Source organism: Homo sapiens, chromosome 16 (genome assembly GCF_000001405.40).
Source record: "Homo sapiens chromosome 16, GRCh38.p14 Primary Assembly".
Taxonomy (NCBI): Eukaryota; Metazoa; Chordata; class Mammalia; order Primates; family Hominidae; genus Homo; species Homo sapiens.
In genome coordinates, this window is record NC_000016.10 from 14,324,264 (window position 1) to 14,346,353 (window position 22,090).

General features: G+C 48.1%; 1 long non-coding RNA gene across 3 annotated transcripts in view; it reads left to right on the forward strand.

Moving 5' to 3' along the window:
* Positions 1-6,799, forward strand: part of MIR193BHG (MIR193b-365a host gene) — a 29,682-nt gene extending 22,883 nt beyond the window's left edge. For all 3 annotated transcript variants that reach the window (NR_170633.1, NR_132983.2, NR_132984.2), the window contains exon 2: positions 1,750-6,799. This is a non-coding gene — a long non-coding RNA (MIR193b-365a host gene). The remainder of the gene's footprint in view (positions 1-1,749) is intronic.
* The last annotated feature ends 15,291 nt before the right edge of the window (positions 6,800-22,090 follow it).

Genomic DNA, 22,090 nt, shown 5'->3' on the forward strand with positions numbered 1-22,090 from the left:
GGACTCAAGCAATCCTCCCGCCTCAGCCTCCAGAGTAGCTGGGACTACCGGCTCATGCCACCATTTTTATTTAATTATTTTTATTATTATTCATAGAGACAGGGTCTCACTACGTTGCCCAGGCTAGTCTCGAACTCCTAGCCTCAAGTAATCCTCCCACCTCATCCTCTCAAAGTGCTGGGACTATAGGCTTGAGCCACCACGCCTGCCCTGCAATTTTTCTTTAACTCCAACCTCACTTCTTTATAAGACATAACCACCGTGGGCAGTTTGCACAATCTTTATAAATTTTGAAAGCATGCACTTTTTTTGGCTCATAGTGGTAAGAAAGTTGGGGGTATACAATATATCCCGACAGTTCTTAGACCCACCTCATTCTTTCTAATGACTTCTAGCATCGCATCATACTTAACCTGTCTTCTACTGGCCAACTTTGCAGTTAACTCGAGGATTTTGCCTTTATAACATCTATAATCTTTGGCATGTGGCCAAGAATACTTGTAGGATAAATTCCTAGAAGTGGAATTTCTCAGTCAGAGGAGATTTTTTTTTTTTTTTTTTTTTTTTTTTTGAGACAGTCTCGCACTGTTGCCCAGGCTGGAATGCAATGGCACAATCTCGACCCACGGCAACCTCCACCTCCTGGGCTCAAGTGATCCTCCTGCCTCAGCGTCCTAAATAGCTGGGACTACAGGCCTGCACTACCACACCCAGCTAATGTTTTTTGTATTTTTTAGTAGAGACAGGGTCTTACCATGTTGCTCAGGGTGGTCTTGACCTCCCGAGCTCAAGCCATCCTTCAGCCTCCCAAAGTGCTAGGATTACAGATGTGAGCCCCTGCTCCCAGCCAAGAGGTGTGCATTGTAAATTTCTACAGCTATTGCCCAGGGCCTTCAAAAGGTTATCATTCACATGCACATCAAGGGTATACCTGTAGAGGCTGGGCTTGGTGGCTCACGCCTGTAATCCCAGCACTTTGAGAGGCTGAGGCTGGAGGATGGCTTGAGCTCAGGAGTTCAAGACCAGCCTGAGCAACATGGCAAAACCCTGTCTCTATAAAAAATACAAATATTAGCCAGGCATAGTGGCGCATGCCTGTAGTCCCATCTACTTGGGGGGCTGATGCAGGAGGATCGCTTGAGCCCGGGAGGTCGAGGCTACAGTGAGCTGTGATTGTACCGCTATACCCCAGCCTGGGTGACAAAGTAAGACCCTGTCCCTCCCCCACCAAAAAAAACAAGCCTACATTGGTGAGGGTGCTGTTTCTGATACCCTTTTCTACCCCAGCAAGAATGCGGTGTGTCAGGAGAAGCAAATCCCAAATGAGGTAAGTGGATTTTCTATGTGGGCCTGGGTCGGGGCAGACATGGCTTCTGAGGTTGTCCCTGTAGCTGTCTGAGGAGATAAGCTATTAAGAGCTCTTGTTAGTGTGGGTTTTATTAACAAAGACAGAGTTTGGGGAGGTGAGCCAGAACCGTGCGGCAGCGAGAAGCGTTGTGCAAGTCGGTATTTATTTCTTTAGTGCAGTTAGAACTTAAATATGGTCAAAACATACTCTTCTTTTAATTTACACAAACAAATATGTTCCCAGGCTGACACCTCCCGTGCCAAGTTTCTAGGGGAAACAAAATTCTACTGTGAGATTATAAACCACTCGAGAGAAGATGAGAATGGAAAAGCCGCCGAGAGTTAGCTCTCTCTACATGCCCAGAACTGGGCTGCTAAAAGGTGTCTTTTTTTTCATTGCAGATAAACCTGCCAGTAATTTCAGCAAATGAAACGTGGAACACGTCAAGGCCAGAGGATGGAAAAGGCTCCAGTTTTGATAAAAGGAGGCCTGCTTGGCTTGGAATCCTCTCTCCTGCTGGTTGGGAGATGCAAAGATGTTTCCAGAGAGGGGCTGATGAATTGAGGGGAAAGAAATGAGCCCAGTATGAGTCCCCTTTCAGGGCTGAGCGTGTATAAAACCAAACAACTTGGAACCGCTCCAAGAGAGGGGATTAAAGCAACATGTTATTCTGAGTGATTGCTTAATTTATTGAGCTGCGGCTGGATCTGTAATGAAATACAGCCCTTGTAACTGATAACCTCCTGCTGCCATTGAACTTCTACAATTAAGGAATATTTTCTGAGTTTCTCTGGAACGGCTCTGAATTTTTAGCCTCTGTGGTAGGGTGCTTCTGAACATTTGTTTTCCAGGCAATTTTTTTTGAGTATTAGGCTGATGTTAATAAATAAGCAGCATTTTATTGAGTGTTTTGTGGGAACCAGGAACTTTATATACATTGTTTCTAATCCTGACACTAATCCTGTCAATATCCAGTGAAATAACCCCTATTATTCCCTATTTTACAGATGTGAAGCCACGAGACGTTAGGTCATTTTCTAGAGTGGTGCTGTCCAAGACAGTAGCTGTGATGGCTCCTTGTGGCTATTGATGTGTAAATTAGTTAAAATTAAATAAATTTTAACATTTACACCCTAGGTTGCACTAACAATGAGTTCAAGTGCCCAGCAGCCCCGTGTACTGTGGCTGATGGCTACCACATTGGACAGTGCAGATATAGACCATTTGAAGGTTGCACAAGTGCTATTGGTCAGCACTGACTTAGATTTCCTTTTTTTTTTTTTTTTTGAGATGGAGTCTCGCTCTATTGTCCAGGTTGGAGTGCAGTGGTGCAATCTCGGCTCACTGCAACCTCCGCCTCCTGGGTTCAAGTGATTCTCCTGCCCCAGCCTCCTGAGTAGCTGGGACTACAGGTGCATGCCACCACGCCCAGCTAATTTTTGTATTTTTAATAGAGATGGGGTTTCACTGGCCAGGCTGGTCTCGAACTCCTGACCTCAGGGGATCCACCTGCCTCAGCCTCTCAAAGTGTTGGGATTACAGGTGTGAGCCACCACGCCCAGCCAGGTTCAGATTTCATAGCTAGAACCTGGCAGTGCCAGAATTCAAGCCGAAGCTAATGGGCTTTGAAGGCAGAGTTCATCTGCCAGCCTTGTTGCTTCTTTTTCTTCCCTCTGCTGAGAAGCAAGGAACAGAGCAGTGACTGTATCCCCTGGCTACACATTAGAATTACCTGCAATTCTTTTTTTTTTTGAGACGGAGTCTCACTCTGTAACCCAGGCTGGAGTGCAGTGGTGTGATATTGGCTCACTGCAACCTCCACCTCCCAGGTTCAAGCAATTCTCCTGCCTCAGCCTTCCAAGTAGCCGGGATTATAGGCACACACCACAACGCCCAGCTAATTTTTGTATCTTTAGTAGAGATGGGGTTTCGCCATGTTGGCCAGGCTGGTCTCGAACTCCTGACGTCAGGTGATCCACCCTCCTTGACCTCCCAAAGTGTTGGGATTACAAGCATGAGCCACCGCACCCGGCCTACCTACAATTCTTTTTTTTTGAGATGGAGTCTCGCTGTCTCCCAGGCTGGAGTGCAGTGGCGCGATCTCAGCTCACTGCAAGCTCTACATCCCGGGTTCATGTCATTCTCCTGCTTCAGCCTCCCGAGTAGCTGGGACTACAGGCGCCTGCCACCACGCCCAGCTAATTTTTTGTATTTTTAGTAGAGACGGGGTTTCACCATGTTAGCCAGGATGGTCTCAATCTCCTGACCTCCTGATCCTACCACCTCGGCTTCCCAAAGTGCTGGAAGCTGTGAGCTTTTTCCCAAAGTGCTAGAAGCTCTGAGCCGCCACGCCTGGCCCCTGCAATTCTTTAAAAAAAATGATGGTAGGGTCCCAGGCCCAGATAATCTGACTTCACTGTGATTAAGCCGGGTGGGGACAGGCATCAGAGGTTTTTCTACTTCCCCATGTGATGCCACTGTGCAGCCAGCACGTAGAGCAGCTAGGCGTGAGGACCCACACAGAGGATGCTGGAAGCAGCTGGTTCATCTGCCAGGAGAATGCAGTATCTTGTGACCAAGAAGTGGGCTTCTCCCAGGGCCACTTCTAAACCACCTCATCAGAGAGCTCAGGTTCATATCCGAGGGAAGAAACTGAAGTGCTTTCTCACACGCTTCCAGCTTGATGAGAATCACAGTAGGGAGCTTTGCTTTTCCAAACAGGCTTTGTCACATGATCATGGAAGAAAGGAGATGCCCACGTAAGATCACAGAGACAAGGTGAAAAACCCGTAGCCCCGAATTGGAATTGGAAGCATCAGTATGAATTCATGCTATATTTTTGTCTTACAAAGTAAAGCAGGTGTTTGCTAGCTCTGTCAACCATAAAGTTTAGAAATAATGAGCCATCCAATAGCAGTGAACACCCCAGCACCCAGGTTATGGTGTCTAAACGCCACTTCCGACTAGAAATGAGGGCATGAAGAAATAACCAATTCCAGGTCTGAGGCAAGAAAAAAAATTCAAGATGAGCCTGGAACATCTGGTCATTCCTTGCTTCCTTGATAGCAAGGAAGGTGAGGGTCACATTGAAAAGGATGCAGGAGACAACATGGAGTGGCTCCCAATGGGGAGAGTTTGAGCATCATTAACAATAATGGGCCGAGCGCGGTGGCTCACGCCTGTAATCCCAGCACTTTGGGAGGCCGAGGTGGGTGGATCACAAGGTCAGGAGATGGAGACCATCCTGGCTAACACAGTGAAACCCCGTCTCTACTAAAAATACAAAAAATTAGCCGGGTGTGGTGGTGGGGTACCTGTAGTCCCAGCTACTCGGGAGGCCGAGGCAGGAGAATGGCGTGAACCCAGGAGGCGGAGCTTGCAGTAAGCCGAGATCAGGCCACTGCATTCCAGCCTGGGCAACAGATCGAGACTCTGTCTCAGAAAAATAAATAATAATAATAATAATAATAATAATAATAATAATGACTATAGGCCAGGTGCGGTGGCTCACACCTGTAATCCCAGCACTTTGGGAGGCCAAGGTGGGCAGATCACTTGAGGTCAGGAGTTAGAGACCAGCCTGGCCAACATGGTGAAACCCCATCTCTACCAAAAATATAAAAAATTAGCCGGGTGTGGTGGCATACACATGTAATCCCAGCTACTTGGGAGGCTGAGGCAGAAGAATCGCTTGAACCCAGGAGGCGGAAGTTGCAGTGAGCCAAGATTGTGCCACTACACTCCAGCCTAGGTGACAGAGCAAGACGCCCATCTCAAAAAAAAAAAAAAAAAAGAATGACTTTAATGGATTGAAACATGTCATATATGTCCAAATCTATGAGTTGACAATACTTAAAAAAAAAAAAAAAAAGAAAAATTCATTTATCACCATGGGAGGATATTGGAAAACCCAACTCATTTTGAAAACTGTCAAAGAAAGGGAAAGAAGCATTTATCCTTTTTGGTACAAACCATACTTTTTGGTAGCCAAATAGTTGATAAATTGATACCTTTTATAGACATATGTCCACTACCAAAGACAGAATCATAGAATTAGTATGCCACCATGTTGTAATATCTAATGAAATAATGGGCCAGGTGTAGTGGCTCATCCCTGTAATCCCAACACTTTCGGAGGCCGAGATGGGAAGATTGTTTGAGGCCAGAAGTTCAAGACCACCCTGGGCAACACAGACCTGTCTATGCAACAAGATCCTGTCTCTACAAAAAAAAAAGAAAAAAAAAAAATTAGCCAGGTTTGGGCATGTGCCTGTAGTCCCAGCTGTTTGGAAGGCTCAGGTGGGAGGATCCCTTGAGCCCAGGAGGTCAAGGCTGCAGTCAGCTATGATTGCACCACTGCACTCTAACCTATGTGACAGAGCAAGACCCCTCAAAAAAAAAAAAAAAAAAGAAGAAGAAATTGTGGATCTAGACAATGATCATCAACAACAGCTGCTAACATTGCAAAGAGGAACAACCAGATAGTGTGTGCCTTTGAATGGAAGTACAAAACCACCAATAGGAAGTACTCATACAAAAAAAAAAAAATCAAACATCAATCTAAGTTATCTCCTAGGCCTAACTACCAATTTCTAAGAAATATAGCGGGAAGAGGAGCACATGACACTTCTATGGAGATGCTATAACCAAAATTCAGACCACAGGAAACTACAGAACAAACAAGCCAGTTTCTTCAACAAATAAATTGCAAAGGAAGAAAAAGACAAGGGAAGAGAACCTACAGGTTAGGAGAGATACAAAAGCAATCCCAACCGATGGCAACATTCGAACTTTATTTGGATCCTGATTTTAACTAGCTAAAGAAACCCTTTAGCTGGGCGCGGTGGCTCACACCTGTAATCCCAGCACTTTGGGAGGCCAAGCCGGGTGGATCACAAGGTCAGGAGTTCAAGACCAGCCTGGCCAAGATGGTGAAACCCCGTCTCTACTAAAAATACAAAAATTAGCCAGGTGCAGTGGCGTGCACCTGTAATCTCAGCTATTCAGGAGGCTGAGGCAGGAGAATCTCTGAAACCCAGGAGTCAGAGGTTGCAGCGAGCTGATATCATGCCACCGCACTCTAGCCTGGGCAACAGAGCAAGACTCCGTCTCAAAAAAAAAAAAAAGAAACGCTTTATGAGATAACCAGAGAAATCTGAATACTAACTGGGTATTTGCTGATAGTAAAAGCATTACTGTTATTAAATAGTTTTAGGAGGAGTGAAGGTGGCCAAAAAAAATTTTTTGGAGTTATACATTGAAATGTTTGTAAAAGAAATGACTGACGTCTGAAATTTGCTTCAGAGTAATCTGGGATGAGGGAAGGGGAAGAGGGCGTGGATGGAATAAGGTTGGCTGAGACTTGACTGCTGAAGCCAGGCTTATTGTACCACACGCTCCGTTCCTATGTGTGCTTGAAGCTTTTCACAATAAAAAGAAAAAAGAGGTAAAGACCAGCCTTTTCCTTCCTTTCTCTCAATGCTTAGTGTGTCCACCCACTGCTGGCATCTCTGGGACAAGCCTGGGTAGCAGGCTTGAGATAGATCTTCACGCATCCCACCCCCGTCTCCATGGCAACCAGTGGGGAGGGAAAGCTGCATCCACAAAGTTCTGGTCCCCACAGGGGTGAGGCCAGGCCACCAGTGTCATGCCAGGCCCTGTCTTGCTGCTCCCTTGGGAGAATTCCCACCAGAACTGCCTCCCTGCACCCATTCCCCATCCCTCTGGCCCTCCCTGTGTGCCCCCTGAAGAAGTAGGGGCCAGTCAGTGGAGAGAACAGGACTCTCAATCAGATCCAGGTTCAAATTCTGACTTCACCACTTAATGGCAGGATCGGAAACCTCCCTGAGCCTCATTTTTTTTTCATCTATAAAATGGGCATACAGTTTTATTTAATGTTTAAAAAAGGCAGGGGGCACGACTGGGCATGGCTCATGCCTGTAATGTCAGCACTTTGGGAGCCTGAGGCAGAAAGATCACTTGAGCCCAGGAGTTTTAGAACAGCCTGGGCAACATAGTGAGACCTCATCTCTACAAAAATTTTAAAAAATAGGCCGGGCACGGTGGCTCATGCCTGTAACCCCAGCACTTTAGGAGGCTGAGGTGGGCAGACTGCTTAAGCTCAGGAGTTCAAAACCAGCCTGGGCAACATGGCAAAACCTCGTCTCTACTAAAAACACAAAAACTAGCAGGGCATGGGGGGACACGCCTGTAGTCCCAAGTTACTCGGGAGACTAAGGTGGGAGGATCACCTGAACCCTGGAGGTCGAGGCTGCAGTGAGCTGTGATTGCACCACAGCACTCCAGCCTGGAGGACAGAACGAGACCCTGTCTCAAAATAATAATAAAATATATAAAGCTGGTATAATGTGACCTTTGTTGAGTTAGTTGCTCAACACATCTTTACTATGAATGGACAGTGACAAAAAAGGATCTAGTCTCCAACTCATGGAACTCTACTCAGGGGTGAGAGGCAATCTCCATAGGCCACTGCACCTGGCCTCATGTTCCACTTTTTAAAAAAATTAGCAGTCACAACTCCCAGTCATACTTTTCATTAACCAGAACATCTATACTTTTCAACTATGAGTATCTAGTTATGGCAATCACACAGGATCATTTCATTTAATTTAGCGCTCACATTTCTTATTTATTTAATGTATTTAATTTATTGAGATGGAGTCTCGCTCTGTTGCCCAGGCTTGAGTGCAGTGGCATGATCTCGACTCACTGCAACGTTTGCCTCCCGGGTTCAAGTGATTCTCCTGCCTCAGCCTCCTGAGTAGCTGGGATTAAAGACACGCACCACCATGCCCAGCTAACTTTTGTATTTTTAGTAGAGATGGGGTTTTACCATGTCGGCCAGGCTGGTCTTGAACTCCTGGCCTCAAGTGATCCACCCGCCTTCACCTCCCAAACTGCTGGGTTACAGGCGTGAGCCACTGTGCCTGGCCTAGTGCTCACATTTCTATGAGCTAAGTCACATTATTCCCATCCTGTGGAGGGAGAAGCTTAGGCACAGAGAGGTGAGATACCTTGCCAAAGGCCACACTACTGGTGTGGCCTTCTGTGGCCCTGTCTTCTGTGCTCAGCCCTCTGTGCATTGATGAAGCTTTGAAATGCCACAGCAGGGCCAGGAAATCAGTGCTGCCAGAAGACTGAAAAGCTCTCCAGATCATTTTCCAAATGAAGAAACAGTGGCCCAGAGAAGCCAAGTAACTTGACTGGGGCCACATAGCAAATGGGTAGCTGAGCCTGTGTTCACACTGCTTGGGGAGATGGTGCAGGGAAGCCCTATTCAGTGAGGGAAGCCAACTCTTACTGCCCCCATGTAATCCTGTCCTAAAGCAGGGTGGCCAGCCATCCCAGCGTGCCTAGGACTAGGAGGTTTTTGGGACTGGAGACATTAGGTGCTAAAACCAGGAAAGCTCTGGGCCAACTGGGATGAGCTGGGCATTCCATCCCATAGACAGTAAGGTGTCTAAATGGTTATTTCCAGGAAATGAGGCTTTGGGATGGAGCTGGCTGGCAAGAACCATCAAGACCCCGTTGAAAGACTAGGGTTTTATGTCTATGATACCCTGGAGATTCCACCTATGTGTCACCTCAGTGGACTCCGCGGGGGCCCACGGCCTGGCATCCTATTCTGCCCCCAAACAGCTAAAGTGCTCTAAATCCTAAACCTAATTGCCCCATGTCCCAGTATGCAAACCTAAATGGTTTCTCATTTTCCCCCCATTGCCTTAGGACCAACCATAAACTCTGCTGGCCCAGGAGACCCTTGGTGGGCTTGCCTCTGTCCACCTGGTGCTGCCTCTCTCTGCAACCCACCCCACCTCACCCCTACAAAATTCCAAGCAAGGACAGGATAACCAAAGACTTCTCACTTCACCCCCCTTCACCCACGTAACCTTTATCTTAGCATCCTACCCTTTTCTTCCATGACATCAGTGCAATTGTAATTACACAGCTATTTGTATAATTAGCTGATTATTAATATCTAGCCTCCCCCACCCCTGGCTAGACTGTCAGCCCACAGGGGCGGGGGTGGGTGTGTGATGTGCACTGTTTTACAGCCTGACTCAGTGGAGACACATGAATGACACTCAAAAGTCACTGAATGGGCCAGACATGTGGCTCACACCTGTAATCCCAGCACTTTGGGAGGCTGAGGTGGGCAGAATGCCTAAGGTCATGAGTTCGAGACCATCCTGACCAACATGGCAAAACACCATCTCTACTAAAAGTTACAACAATTAGCTGGGTGTGGTTACATGCGCCTGTATAGTCCCAGCTACTCGGGAGGCTGAGGCAGGAGAATTGCTTGGGCCTGGGAGGTGGAGGTTGCAGTGAGCCAAGATCACATCACTGCACTCCAGCCTGGGAGACACAGCGAGACTCCATCTCAAAAAAAATAATAATAAAATGGCTGGGCACGGTGATCCCAGCACTTTGGGAGGCCAAGGCAGTTGGATCACTTGAGGTCATGAGTTCAAGACCAGCCTGGCCAACATGGTGAAACCCCATCTCCACTAAAAATACAAAAAATTAGCTGAGTGTGGTAGTCCATGCCTGTAGTCCCAGCTACTCGGGAGGCTGAGGCACAAGAATTGCTTGAACCCGGGAGACAGAGGTTGCAGTGAGCCGAGATCATGCCACTACACTCCAGCTTGGGTGACAGAGCGAGACTCTGTCTAAAAAAAAAGGAAAAAAAAAAAAAGTCATTGAATGGCCCCACCAAAGACTGCTATCACCTCCAACTGGGCCTCCATCTGAAATCACAGAAACCCTCCATAGCCACCAGGGTCTCCACTTCCCAGGCTGCTATCCATGATGTCACAGGATGGAAAATGATCCCAGAAAAAGACTGGCAAAGGGAGAAGCTCCTGGAGGAGGACGTGGAAGGCAGGATTGGTGTGGTTTTTAATTACTGTACCTGTTCTGACCACATTTTCTTAGCTCTGCTCACATCCCTACTTCAATAGTAGCTTAGGACAACAAAACAAAAACATCAGCCCCAGAGTTTGAGACAAGATATCTCACTGGTTCCCTCTTTGCCGGTAATTAACGCTGAAAAGTTTCAATACTTATCTTGGCAGCAAAGGTAATAATACAAACGCACAGCCAGATTATTTGGCTGCTAATTCTCTTCTTGATGTTTTCCTTCCCCTTTCCTTAAATTAATTCCAGAGTTCTTCCAGATTTCTCGTTGCTAAGCTATAAAGTTCCAGGTTTCCGCAGCATGGCTGCTAATTGGCAGGGAGTTACCAGGCAGCTCCAATCAGAACCAGGTTGTTGAAAGGAGCGTCCACACTACAGCTCGCTCAGAGGTTTTGGAATTTTCTCGCTGACATTATGAACCGCAAAGGTCTTTGCCTAACTCTGCAGAACCTGTTTTCTTGATTTGGCTGTTGGGCGACACCAGACGCCTTGGACTTTCCCTAGGAGGCGTGGGGAGTCCCTGGGTCTCCTGGTTAGGGTCAGTGACAGGGATGCTCAGAGCACATTCATGGCTCACCACAGACAATGTGACCCCCAACACTGCTGCAGAAAGGGTGCCGCAAGCCCCCCAGGACTGACCTCTCACATCCATCTCCCAAGCATGTTGACAGACTATCTGGAGGAGGCTGATGATACCTCTGAACTTAGGATTTTAGGGGTGAAGGTCATATTTGTAAAGGACTTTAAAACACCCAAATGGAGGGCCATTTGGTGATCTACCTCCAGAATCATAATGAAAACCATCACCATGAACTGAGTTTCTACTGTACACCACAAACCATATTCTCATCTGTTCCCATCCTAAAACTCCCACTGGACCAGCTGGGAACCTGACAGCTGCTGCACTGTTGGTTCCACTTGCCTGCTGCCGTCTTCTAGGAGCAGAAAGTCATGTGACCCGGGCCTGGCTACTGTGATTGGCTCTGTGATGAGCACATGACAAAGCTGGGCCAATCAGAATCTTCCCTGAGACTTTTTTTGCCAGATAGGAAAAGACTCCCCAACCCTACCGTTGCTAAGCTGGTGCCCATTGGGAACACATATGGAAGGTGCCTGAGAAATATAAGAAGCCCCCAAAGATATGCAGTCCCTATGACAATGCTTGAGCCTTAGATGCACCTGTAGAGGAAGCCAGATCTACTTCCTGGATTTGACAGTTACAGGAATAGTAAATTCTTTTACTGCTTAAGCCAGTTTACCTTTGTGTCTGTTGCTTCTTGCTGAAGAGTGCTAAGTAATGGGGTTACATAGCTTCTCTGCATGGTGCCTTGGCTCTAAGGCAGGCAGTTTGCTTATATTCCTGCATAGGGTCTTCACAATTACCTGGTGAGGCACTCCATTTTGCACCTGGGGAAACTGAGGCTCAGAAGGGTAAGGGAGGCTTGCCCAGGTAACATGGTCACTGTGTTCTCAGGAGTTCAAACCTGGGCTAATTCTTTAGTGTCTGTGGCTCCTCAAATTCAACTTGTCCAAAACTGAATTCAAGAGCCTCCCCCGAAACTGATTTCCCTCTGAGGTCCCTCATCTGCCACTCTAGAGATGCTAACTAGAAACCAGGTACCAGCCGGGCACGGTGGCTCACTCCTGTAATCCCAGCACTTTGGGAGGCCGAGGTGGGCCTCCCATAATATAACCCTGTCTCTACTAAAAATACAAAAATTAGCTGGGTGTGGTGGCACGCGCCTGTAGTCCCAGCTACTTGAGAGGCTGAGGTGGGAGAATGACTTAAACATGGGAGGCAGGTGTTGCAGTGAGCCGAAACCATGCCATTGCACTCCAGCCTGGGTGACAGAGTGAGACTCCTTCTGAAAAAAAAAAAAAAAAAAAAAAAGACACCAGGTACCATCTCTGACCCCTCCAGTTTCCCTCTCTCCCACATCCCAGCCTCACTAAGTCCTGCCCATCAATTTCCTTGGCAGCCCTCGCAGCAGCTTCTCTCCCCGTCCCATTCATGTCCCCACCCATAACCAGGCCGCCCTCATTCCTCCCTGGCCTTCTAGAAGTGCATCTCTCCTGGTTCTCCTATAGCCACTCTTGCCCCTCTCCTCCAACCTAGCTCCCCACCACACCCAGAGGAACTGTTTCAAAATGTGAATCTGATCACACTGCCTTGCTGGGACAGGTTGGGTTTTATTATTATTATTATTATTATTATTATTATTATTATTATTACTATTAATTTTTTTTTGAGACGGAGTCTCACTCTGTCACCCAGGCTAGAATGCAGTGGCGCAATCTCAGCTGACTGCAAGCTCCACCTCCCGGGTTCATGCCATTCTCCCACCTCAGCCTCCCGAGTAGCTGGGACTACAGGTGCCCACCACAACGCCCAGCTAATTTTTGGTAGAGACGGGATTTCACCGTGTTAGCCAGGATGGTCTTGATCTCCTGACCTCGTGATCTGCCCGCCTCGGCCTCCCAAAGTGCTGGGATTACAGGCATGAGCCACTGCACCTGGCCTATTATTATTTTTTGAGACAGAGTCTTATTTTGTCACCTAGGCTGGAATGGAATGGCACAGTCATAGCTCACTGCAGCCTCAACCCCCTGGGCTCAAGCGATCCTCCTGCCTCAGCTTCCCGAGTAGCTCAGACCACAGGCATGTGCCACTACGCCTGGCTAATTTTTTTATTTTTATTTTTGTAAAGACAAGATCTCGCTCTGCTGCCCAGGCTGGTCTCAAACTTCTGACCTCAAGCGATCCTCCCGCCTTTACCTCCCAAAGTGTTGGGATTACAGGCATGAGCCACTGCGCCCTGCCTGGTTGGGTTTTAGGATATGAAGGCACACATTTGCCTCTGGGGATGTTTGAGAATCCTGCCGTCAGCCCCTTAGTCCCACCCAGCTTTCGGGCACAAAGTCTTCAAGCCCGAGAGCTGGGGAAGACACAGCTCCCCGCGTGCTCAGCCATGCCATCGTTTATTCTGAAAATATTTACTAGTGTCTCCCAGGCACGGTTCCCTATGCTGGGGATACAGAGACGACAAGAGTAGCAAAAAGTGCACATGCTCATAGTGTGTGTGCTGCATGCCAGGCCTGGGCTCTGTGCCTCAGGACCTGGGAGGAGGTGGCCTCTACCGTGCAGGAGCCAGCAGGGCTGCCCCTCACAGCTGCCCACACTGGCCGCACTTGGCCCCAGCCCGTAGGGATGTGTATCGGCAAACTCCTTTTGCTGCTGAACTCTGCAGTGGCAAGCTTGGCTGTTTTTCACAGTTAGAGTCTGGTGACGTTTAACTAAGGCTGTGGAGGAGAGCGCATGTGTGAGTGAGAGGGGTGCTCGCACAAGCTCGCATATTTCCCAAACACAAAGCCTGCAGTAGAACTGCCTGACACTCACCCCCACCGCCGCCCCCGCCACCCCTCTTCCCACACAAACACAGGTGATGAAAAAGTAAACTAAGTGAGAGGTCAGGTCTCTTTAGAAATCAAGGGTGTTTGAACTCAACAGCAGAGAGCTACTGTTTATTCTAAACCCCATGAAATAAGATGACTTATCATTAACAGATAAGTCAGTGGGGCTACATGTTGTTTGAACATCAAAAGCCATTTGTCAATCCATGCATCCATTTGTCTGCCTATCCATCCATCCATTTATCTACCCATCCACCTACCTATTCATCCACCTACCCATTCATCAATCCACCTACCCATCCATCCATCCACTCACCTATCCATCCATCCACTCACCTATCTGTCCATCCATCTACCCCATCCACCCACCTACCCATTCATCCATCCACCCACCTATCCATCCATCCATCTACCCTTCCATCCACCCACCTATCCATTCATCCATCCACCCACCTACCCATCCATCCACCCATCCACCTACCCATCCATCCACCCATCTACCTACCCATCCATCCACCTACCCACCTATCCATCCATCCATCCATCCACCCACCTATCCATCCATCCATCCACACATCCACCCACCTATCCATTCACCCATCCATCAACCCCCAAGCCCATCCATCCATCCACCCATCCACCCACCTATCCATTCATCCATCTATCTACCCCTAAACCCACCCATCCATCCACCCACCTCCCTACTCATCCATCCATCCACCCAGCCTATCCATCCATCTACCTGTCTATCCACCCATCTATCCATCCATCAATTTGCTAAGTTCTCAATATAATTATGACAGTAATATTAATAATAGCAATAATAGCAGTGGTTCCTATCAACTAGGTACTTTCTAAGAAACAGGTTTCTACACTAAGCACTTTGGAAACATCATCTGTTTAATTTTCACAAACAATTCTATGAGATAGATGCCAAAAGACCCAGTTTACAGAGGAAGAAAGTAAGGCACCGAGAGGGTAAGTGGCTGGCCCCAGACTTCACAGCCTACTGTGGTAGATTAAATATGGCCAGAAATTCCCTGTGGCTCCTCTCACAAGGAGGTGAAGTCTATTTCTCCATTCCCCTAAATACAGGCTGTCCTCTTGACTTACTTCAACTGATAGAATATGCCAGAGGTAGTGTTATGCAAGTCCTGAGAACAGGCTTCAGGGAGCCTCGAAGCTTCTTTGTGAACTGACGTGGAATGCTTACCCAAGGCTTCCATGTAAGGAAGCTGGTCTTTCCTGTTGGAAGGCGAGAGGTCACATGAAGGAGAACTGAGGCAACCCAGCCAACAGCCAGAGCCAACGGCCACACATGTGAGGGAGGCCATCTTGGACCCTCTAGCCCAGTAACCCCCAGCTGACTGCAGGCCATGAGTGAAGTCAGAGGAAGCAGCCAGCCTGAAAAATATATTCTTTTTTTTTTTTTGAGACAGAGTCTCACTCTGTCACCAGGCTGGAGTGCGGTGGCACGATCTTGGCTCACTGCAACCTCTGCCTCCTGGGTTCAAGCGATTCTCCTGCCTCAGCCTCCCGAGTAGCTGGGATTACAGGCACCCACCACCATGCCCAGCTAACTTCTGTAGAAAAGTAAGTTATTCTTTTAAGTCACTACATTTTGGGGATTGTTTGTTATGCAGCAAAGATGACCAAACACATTATAAGAGGCCAAGCCAGGATTTTAACCCAGGTCTCCCATCCTAGGATCTGGGCCTCTCAGAGGCAGAGACTGTGGTCACAGAGATGAAGAGGATAGTGTCCCTGATTACCAACAAATACCCTGCCAAGTCATCCATGTGAAGAGAGGTATGTCCCGGGGTGGGTTCCCTAGACACTAACGTCAATGTTTTATTTATACAACAATCAATTGCTGCACACCTACCATGTGACAGTCACCATACAAGGTGTGAGGCATGTGGCAGTGAGCAACAGACATGGTCTGTGATCTCATGAAGCTTGACATTTCAGGAATAAGACAGACAAAAGTAAATCAACAACCAAACAATTACAAAATACACAGAGTATTGAGAAAGAAACCAATAGGTACTGAGGAGAGAAATTTATGAGTAGAATAACTTTAGATCATGTGATCAGGAAAGATTGCTCTAAGAAGACAATGTCTAAGCTGGGTCTACAAGAATGAAACATACAAAGAGTTGCAGGAAAAATATCTGGGTAAAAGGAACTGCACAGGCCATGTCCCCAAGGAAGAACAGAGCCTGAGATTTCTAGGTCTGGCTGCAGCAGAGCGAGTCGGGAGGAAAGTGAGTTAAGACAAAGATGGAAGGAAGGATGGGCCAGGCCAGATCATGCCAGCCTTGGAGGCTACATGAAAGAGTTGGGAATTTTCTCCTAGTATGTTGGGAAAGTAATGGGAAGTTTTGACCAGAAGAGTAACATGGTTTTCTTTTTCATTTATTTTCTTTATTTTTATTTGTATTTACTTTTTACTTTTTAAATTAATTTTTGATTGAGTGGATTCAATTAATTGGATGGAGTGCAGTAGTACAATCATAGCTCACTGCAGCCTCAAACACCTGAGCTCAAAGGATCCTGCCACCTCAGCCTTCCGAGTAGCTGGAACAACAAATGTATGTCACCATGCCCGGCTAACTTTTTTTAGAGACAGGGTCTTACTATGTTGCCCAGGCTGGTCTTAAACTCCTGGCCTCAAGTGATCCTCCTGCCTTGGTCTCCCAAAGGGCTGGGATTACAGGTGTGAGCCACCATGCCTGGCTTATTTTACTTAGATTTTAACAGATACCTTTGCTGTATGGACAACAGATCAAAGAGAGGCAACAATGAAAGGAGGGATATTAATCAAGCTGTTGGTGCAGTTACCTAGGTCAAAGATGGTGGTAGCTTGGGCCAGGGCAATGGCTGTGGAGTTGAGAAACACATTAATTTGAAATGCATTTTGGAAGAATTGATAGGACTTAGAGATTGGATTGGAGGGTGAAAAGAGATATTAGAAATTAGCTTGACCTCTCCCAGAGGTGGACTATAAGACAAGGACTTGAGTGATAGAAATCATTTACATAAGAAGGGACTTGAGGGCTGGGCGCAGTGGCTCATGTCTGTAATCCCAGCACTTGGGGATGCTGAGGTGGGTGGATCACCTGAGGGCAGGAGTTTGAGACCGGCCTGACCGACATGGTGAAATCCCATCTCTACTAAATATAAAAAATTAGCCAGGCATGGTGGCATGCACCTGTATGTAATCCCAGCTACTTGAGAGGCTGAGGCAGGAGAATTGATTGAACCTGGGAGATGGAGATTACAGTGAGCCAACATTGCACCATTGCACTCCAGCCTGGGAAAGAGCAAAACTCCATGTCACACACACACACACACACACACACACACACACACACACACACACACAAAGGGGACTTGAGGAAGCATGGGTAGGAAGTGGGGAAGAGAGTCAAGAAAGGAAGCCCACCCACAGGGGTGTGTTATGAAATGAGTTACCTCTGTGGGCAACTGCAGCTCAGTCTCACTCAGGAACTTTGGGAGATAATGTTGAACATACACTGTTCTCATCTGAGAGGCAAGAGAGCTGGGGTATTTATACTCCAGACCTTGCCAGTCATTGGTTGAAAGCTGCTCCCAGGGAGTGTTAATATGCCTGTATTAGTCCATTTTCACACTGCTGATAAAGACATACCCGAGACTGGGTAATTTACAAAAAAAAAAAAAAAAAAAAAAAAAAGATTTAATGGACTTACAGTTCCATGTGGCTGGGGAAGCCTCACAATCATGGTGGAAGGCAAGGAGGAGCAAGTCACCTCTTACATGGATGGCAGCAGGCAAAGGGAGAGCTTATCAGGGGAACTCCTCTTTATAAAACCATTAGATCTCATGAGACTTATTCAATATCATGAGAACAGGACGAGAAAGACTAGCCCACATGATTCAATTACCTCCCAGTGGGTTCCTCCCACAACAGATGGGAATTCAAGATGAGATTTGGGTGGGGACACAGCCAAACTATATCAATGTCAGTATTCTCTCCTGCTATGCGAAAGGGTTGAATGGGCTCCAGAAGTCAGAAGATGTCCTCGGGCAAAGAAATGCAAGTGCCAAAGTTGGAAGCCAGGCCAGGGACAGGTTGATGGGATACATCTCAGTCACCAACAATGCCTGCCACCATTAGCAATGACTCATGTATTCTGGGTTTGAGCAAGTGAAAGTAAGCTTTTTTTTTCCTTTAAAAAATAATAGAGATGGGGTCTCACCATGTTTTCCAGGGTAGTCTGGAACTCCTGGCCTCAAGCAATTCTCCCCCTCAGCCTCCCAAAGTGCTGAGATTACAGACATGAACCACCATACCCAGCGAATAAGTAAGTTCTACATTCATGGAGTCCTCCATGACATCTTTCCTTTACTTCAGTGGCTCTCTTTTCTCCCATCTCAGCCCTTCTGTTACCAGACTATTTTTTTTTTTTTTTTTTTTGAAATGGGGTCTCACTCTGTCACCCAGGCTGGAGTGCGGTGATGCAATCTCAGCTCACTGCAACCTCTGCCTCTGTGTTCAAGTGATTCTCCTGCCTTAGGTCCCAAATAGCTGGGATTATAGGCGCCCGCCACCACGCCTGGCTAATTTTCGCTCTTGTAGCCCAGGCTGGAGTGCCAATGGCTCAATTTCAGCTCACTGCAACCTTCGCCTCCCAGGTTCAAGCGATTCTCCTACCTCAGCCTTCCAAGTAGCTGGGATTACAGGCGCCTGCCACCATGCCCGGCTAATTTTTGTCTTTTTAGTAGGGATGGGGTTTCACCATGTTGGCCAGGTTGGTCTCAAACTCCTGACCTCAGGTGAACCGCCCACCTTGGCTTCCCAAAGTGCTGGGATGAGCCACTGCACCTGGCCTGAAATGTATGATTTCTGACACTCAGCCCCAACACCCCCTCCTCTCCCAGTCAATGACTCTACTTCCATTCAACTGCTCTAGACCAAAAACCCAGGAGTCATCCACAAAATTCTTCTCTTTCTCACACCCCAACATCCAATTCTATTGACTCTACCTCTGAAATATTCTGAGTTCAACCAAGTTTCTCTGCTTCCATTTCCCTCCTCACCCCAACCACATCTTAACTCCCTGCCCTGATTCTACCTCAGTCCAGAAGCCAAAGTGATCTTTTATGGTAAAACCAGACCACATCATTCCTCTGCTTACAACCCTCAATGGGTGTCCCTCGGAAGACTACGGGAACACTGAAGCTCTCACCCTGGCCCCAGGTACGCAAATCCCTGCCCTGACCGCATCTCCAAGCCCAACCCCGCCATTTTCCTCCAGCTCACAGAGCCCGCACGCTGGCGCCCCATTGATTCCTCAAACACATCAAGCTCTTTCCTGCCCCTAGTCCTTCGCACATGCTATTCCTTCTGCCTGGAACAGCATCTCTCCCAGGTCCCTGCAGGATTGATTCCTGCTGGTCATTTCTAGCTCAACTCAAAAGCCAACATCCTCATTTCTTTATTTCCATGGTGTTTTTTTCCTACCCCCTCCCCCAACCCCAGAACAGAAGCCCCATGATCCAGAGATTCGACTCTCATTCACCTCCACACACCACGGGCAGTGTCTCCAACACGTCTGAGGCGTAGCAGGAGCTCACAAAACATCTGTTGAATGAATGACTGTAGTTGTGACAAAACCTTACTTGCCCACAGGGTTTCTAACCATAGCTACATGTTTCCAGCCATGCTCAATGGTAGCCAGGTTCCGATTTTGTCCCATCTGGAGGTAAGCCTGTTGGCATGGTTCTCATGCATGATCTCAGTCCCCTTAGTGCTGGAAACGTCCAATGTCATTTGCTGAGGCTCTGGAGAGAAATTGAACCTGACGGCCATCACTGGAGCTGAGCCCCCCTCACTGCCCTGCGAGAAGCCACACATCTGTGGTGTGGCCCTCTTGGACAGACCAGAGGCACTGGGACCCTGTGGCTGAATTAAGGTGGGGGAAGAGGGAAGCCAGACCCATAAGCCTTCTTTTTTTTTTTTTTTTTTTTTTTTGACACCGTCCCTCTGTCACCCAGGCTGAAGTGCAGTGGCACGATCACAGCTCACTGCACCCCTGAGCTCCTGTGCTCAAGCGATGCTCCCACCTCAGCCTCCTGAGTAGCTGGGACAGCAGGCACACACCACCACGCCCAGCTGATTTTTTTTTTTTTTTTTTTTTTTTTTTGAGAGAGATGGGAGTCTCACTGTGTTGCCCAGGCTGGTCTTGAACTCCTAGGCTCAAGCAATCCTCCCGCCTCAGCCTCCCAAAGTGCTGGGATTACAGGCGTGAGCCACCGCACCCCCTACGTTGAAAGGGAAGGCTGGGGAAAGTGAAGCCCCAATCAAACATGAACAGCTGGCCATTCCCTTCCCTCCGTGGGTGGGAGCCTCTACACTCACTCAGCACACATCACAAGAGGAGGTGCTGCCACTCAACCCCCGCTAGCTGAGGCTGTTCCTTCATCACCAGCCCTCTGTGCTGCTCCCCGCCCCAACCTGTAACTGGATACTGTGATGTAGGACTCCACCTTCCCCTTCCCTGTCCCCAGACACCAGCTGCGATGCTTGCCAGCTGTGCTTCCTTGGGCAAGTCACTCAACCTCTCTGAGCCTCAGTTTCCCATTCAAAAAATCAAGGTGATGAAAGCGTCCACCCCATGGTGCTCACAGAGTGTCTATTAGCACTGAGAGCAGCTCCAAGCACAGCCAGCACACTCTTAGCACAAAGCCTAGCTCAGTACATTTCTAAAAATATGTTTTATTGGATTTTCCTTCTGAGCTACAGAAGCAATGTATGTTCCTTGAAACAAGCCACACAGCAAAGAGGTGAACAAAGAAAAAGCCAGGTCTCTTTCTTTCCCTTCTCGCTAACCTCGTAACCTCCAGACCCCTTCCCCACCCCCACATTCCCCAGAGGAAGTAACCAGTGCCCATTTTTCCTTTCGCACCTTTCTCTCTGCACAGTCATCCACCTGCATATATGGGCTTTTTGCATTTTTACAAAAATGGGCAAATTCCATACACATCGTCCCAGGCTAATACAATGTGGAAAGATCAATCTCGTTCTTTCTAGCAGCTTGCTAATATTACTCATTGGCAATGACCCTCGATGTATTTTAAGGCACTGACCCCTTTCCCAGTGATGGATATGTGGGCCGTTTCCAGCCCTTCGCTCAACCAGCAGCGCTTTGACCTATCTCCTCGTGTCTATGGAAAGATGCCCAAAGCATGATTATTGGGTCAAAGGGCATGGTTTCCATTTGTGTGTCTGCTTTTTAGAAACAGGGTCTCACTGTCTTGCCCAGGTCTCACTTGTCTTGTCTTGAGTGCAGTGGTGTGATCGTGGCTCACTGCAGCCTTGAACCCCCGGGTTCAAGCAATCCTGCCACCTCAGTCTTCCAAGTAACTTGGACTACAGGTTCGCGCCACCACACCGGGCTTTTTTAATCTGTATTTTTTGTAGACACAGGGATCTCACCATGTTGCCCGAGCTGGTCTTGAACTCCTGGCCTCAAGCAATCCTCCTACCTTGGTCTCCCAAAGTGTTGGGATTATAAGCGTGAGCCACCGCGCCCAGCCCTGTTCTTAGTACTGAGGGCCCTCACTCCCCTTGTCTCTTGTCATTGCCCTATCCCCAGACTTGGCACAGTGCCTAGCATGCATGGTGCCTAGTACGCAATCGGTGCTCAGCATTTGCCACAACCAAAAGAGAAACCATCCCACAGCCGGTTTGAGGACAGAGCCAGGGACTTAGGGCATGACCTCCAGGTCACTGGGTCACCGCGTCCCCACTGCGATGACACAACTCCCTTTGCAGCACATCTCAGAGCGCGGATTGCAATATCCAGGTTGTTTCACTGTTTCCGCCCGCAATCCCCAAAGGCAGACGAGCTGATGGCATGGGGAGGAAGGCCCGTGTGCCCTTGCCTCAGGAAGCCAGGACATTCAACACCAGCTGGGCAGACTTGGAAAGGCCAAGGGGCAGCAAGGCCAGGAACTGGCACCTCTCCAGGTTTCTGTCATTTAAGGTCAGCTTCTCGCTGACCACTGCCCACCACCCATAAGTTGAGCTCCAACCCAGAAAAGCAACTGTCCGGGCCCTGCCCAAGCCAGTCCCCTGCCCTCCCTCATCCCCACACGCCTCACCGCACGCATTCACTTAGCACACAATTATTTATTGAGCATCTACTATATGCCAGGCACCATGCCAGGTCAGGAGATGCAGTGGTGAGCAGATGAAGCTCTGCACTCCCAGCTATCGTGGTTGTGGTTGTAGCTGGCTGAACAACGGTCCCCAAAGATGCACACATCCTAATCTTAGGAACCTGTGAATATGTCACCATATGTAGCACAAGGGACTTGGCAGAGGAGATTAAATAAGACATT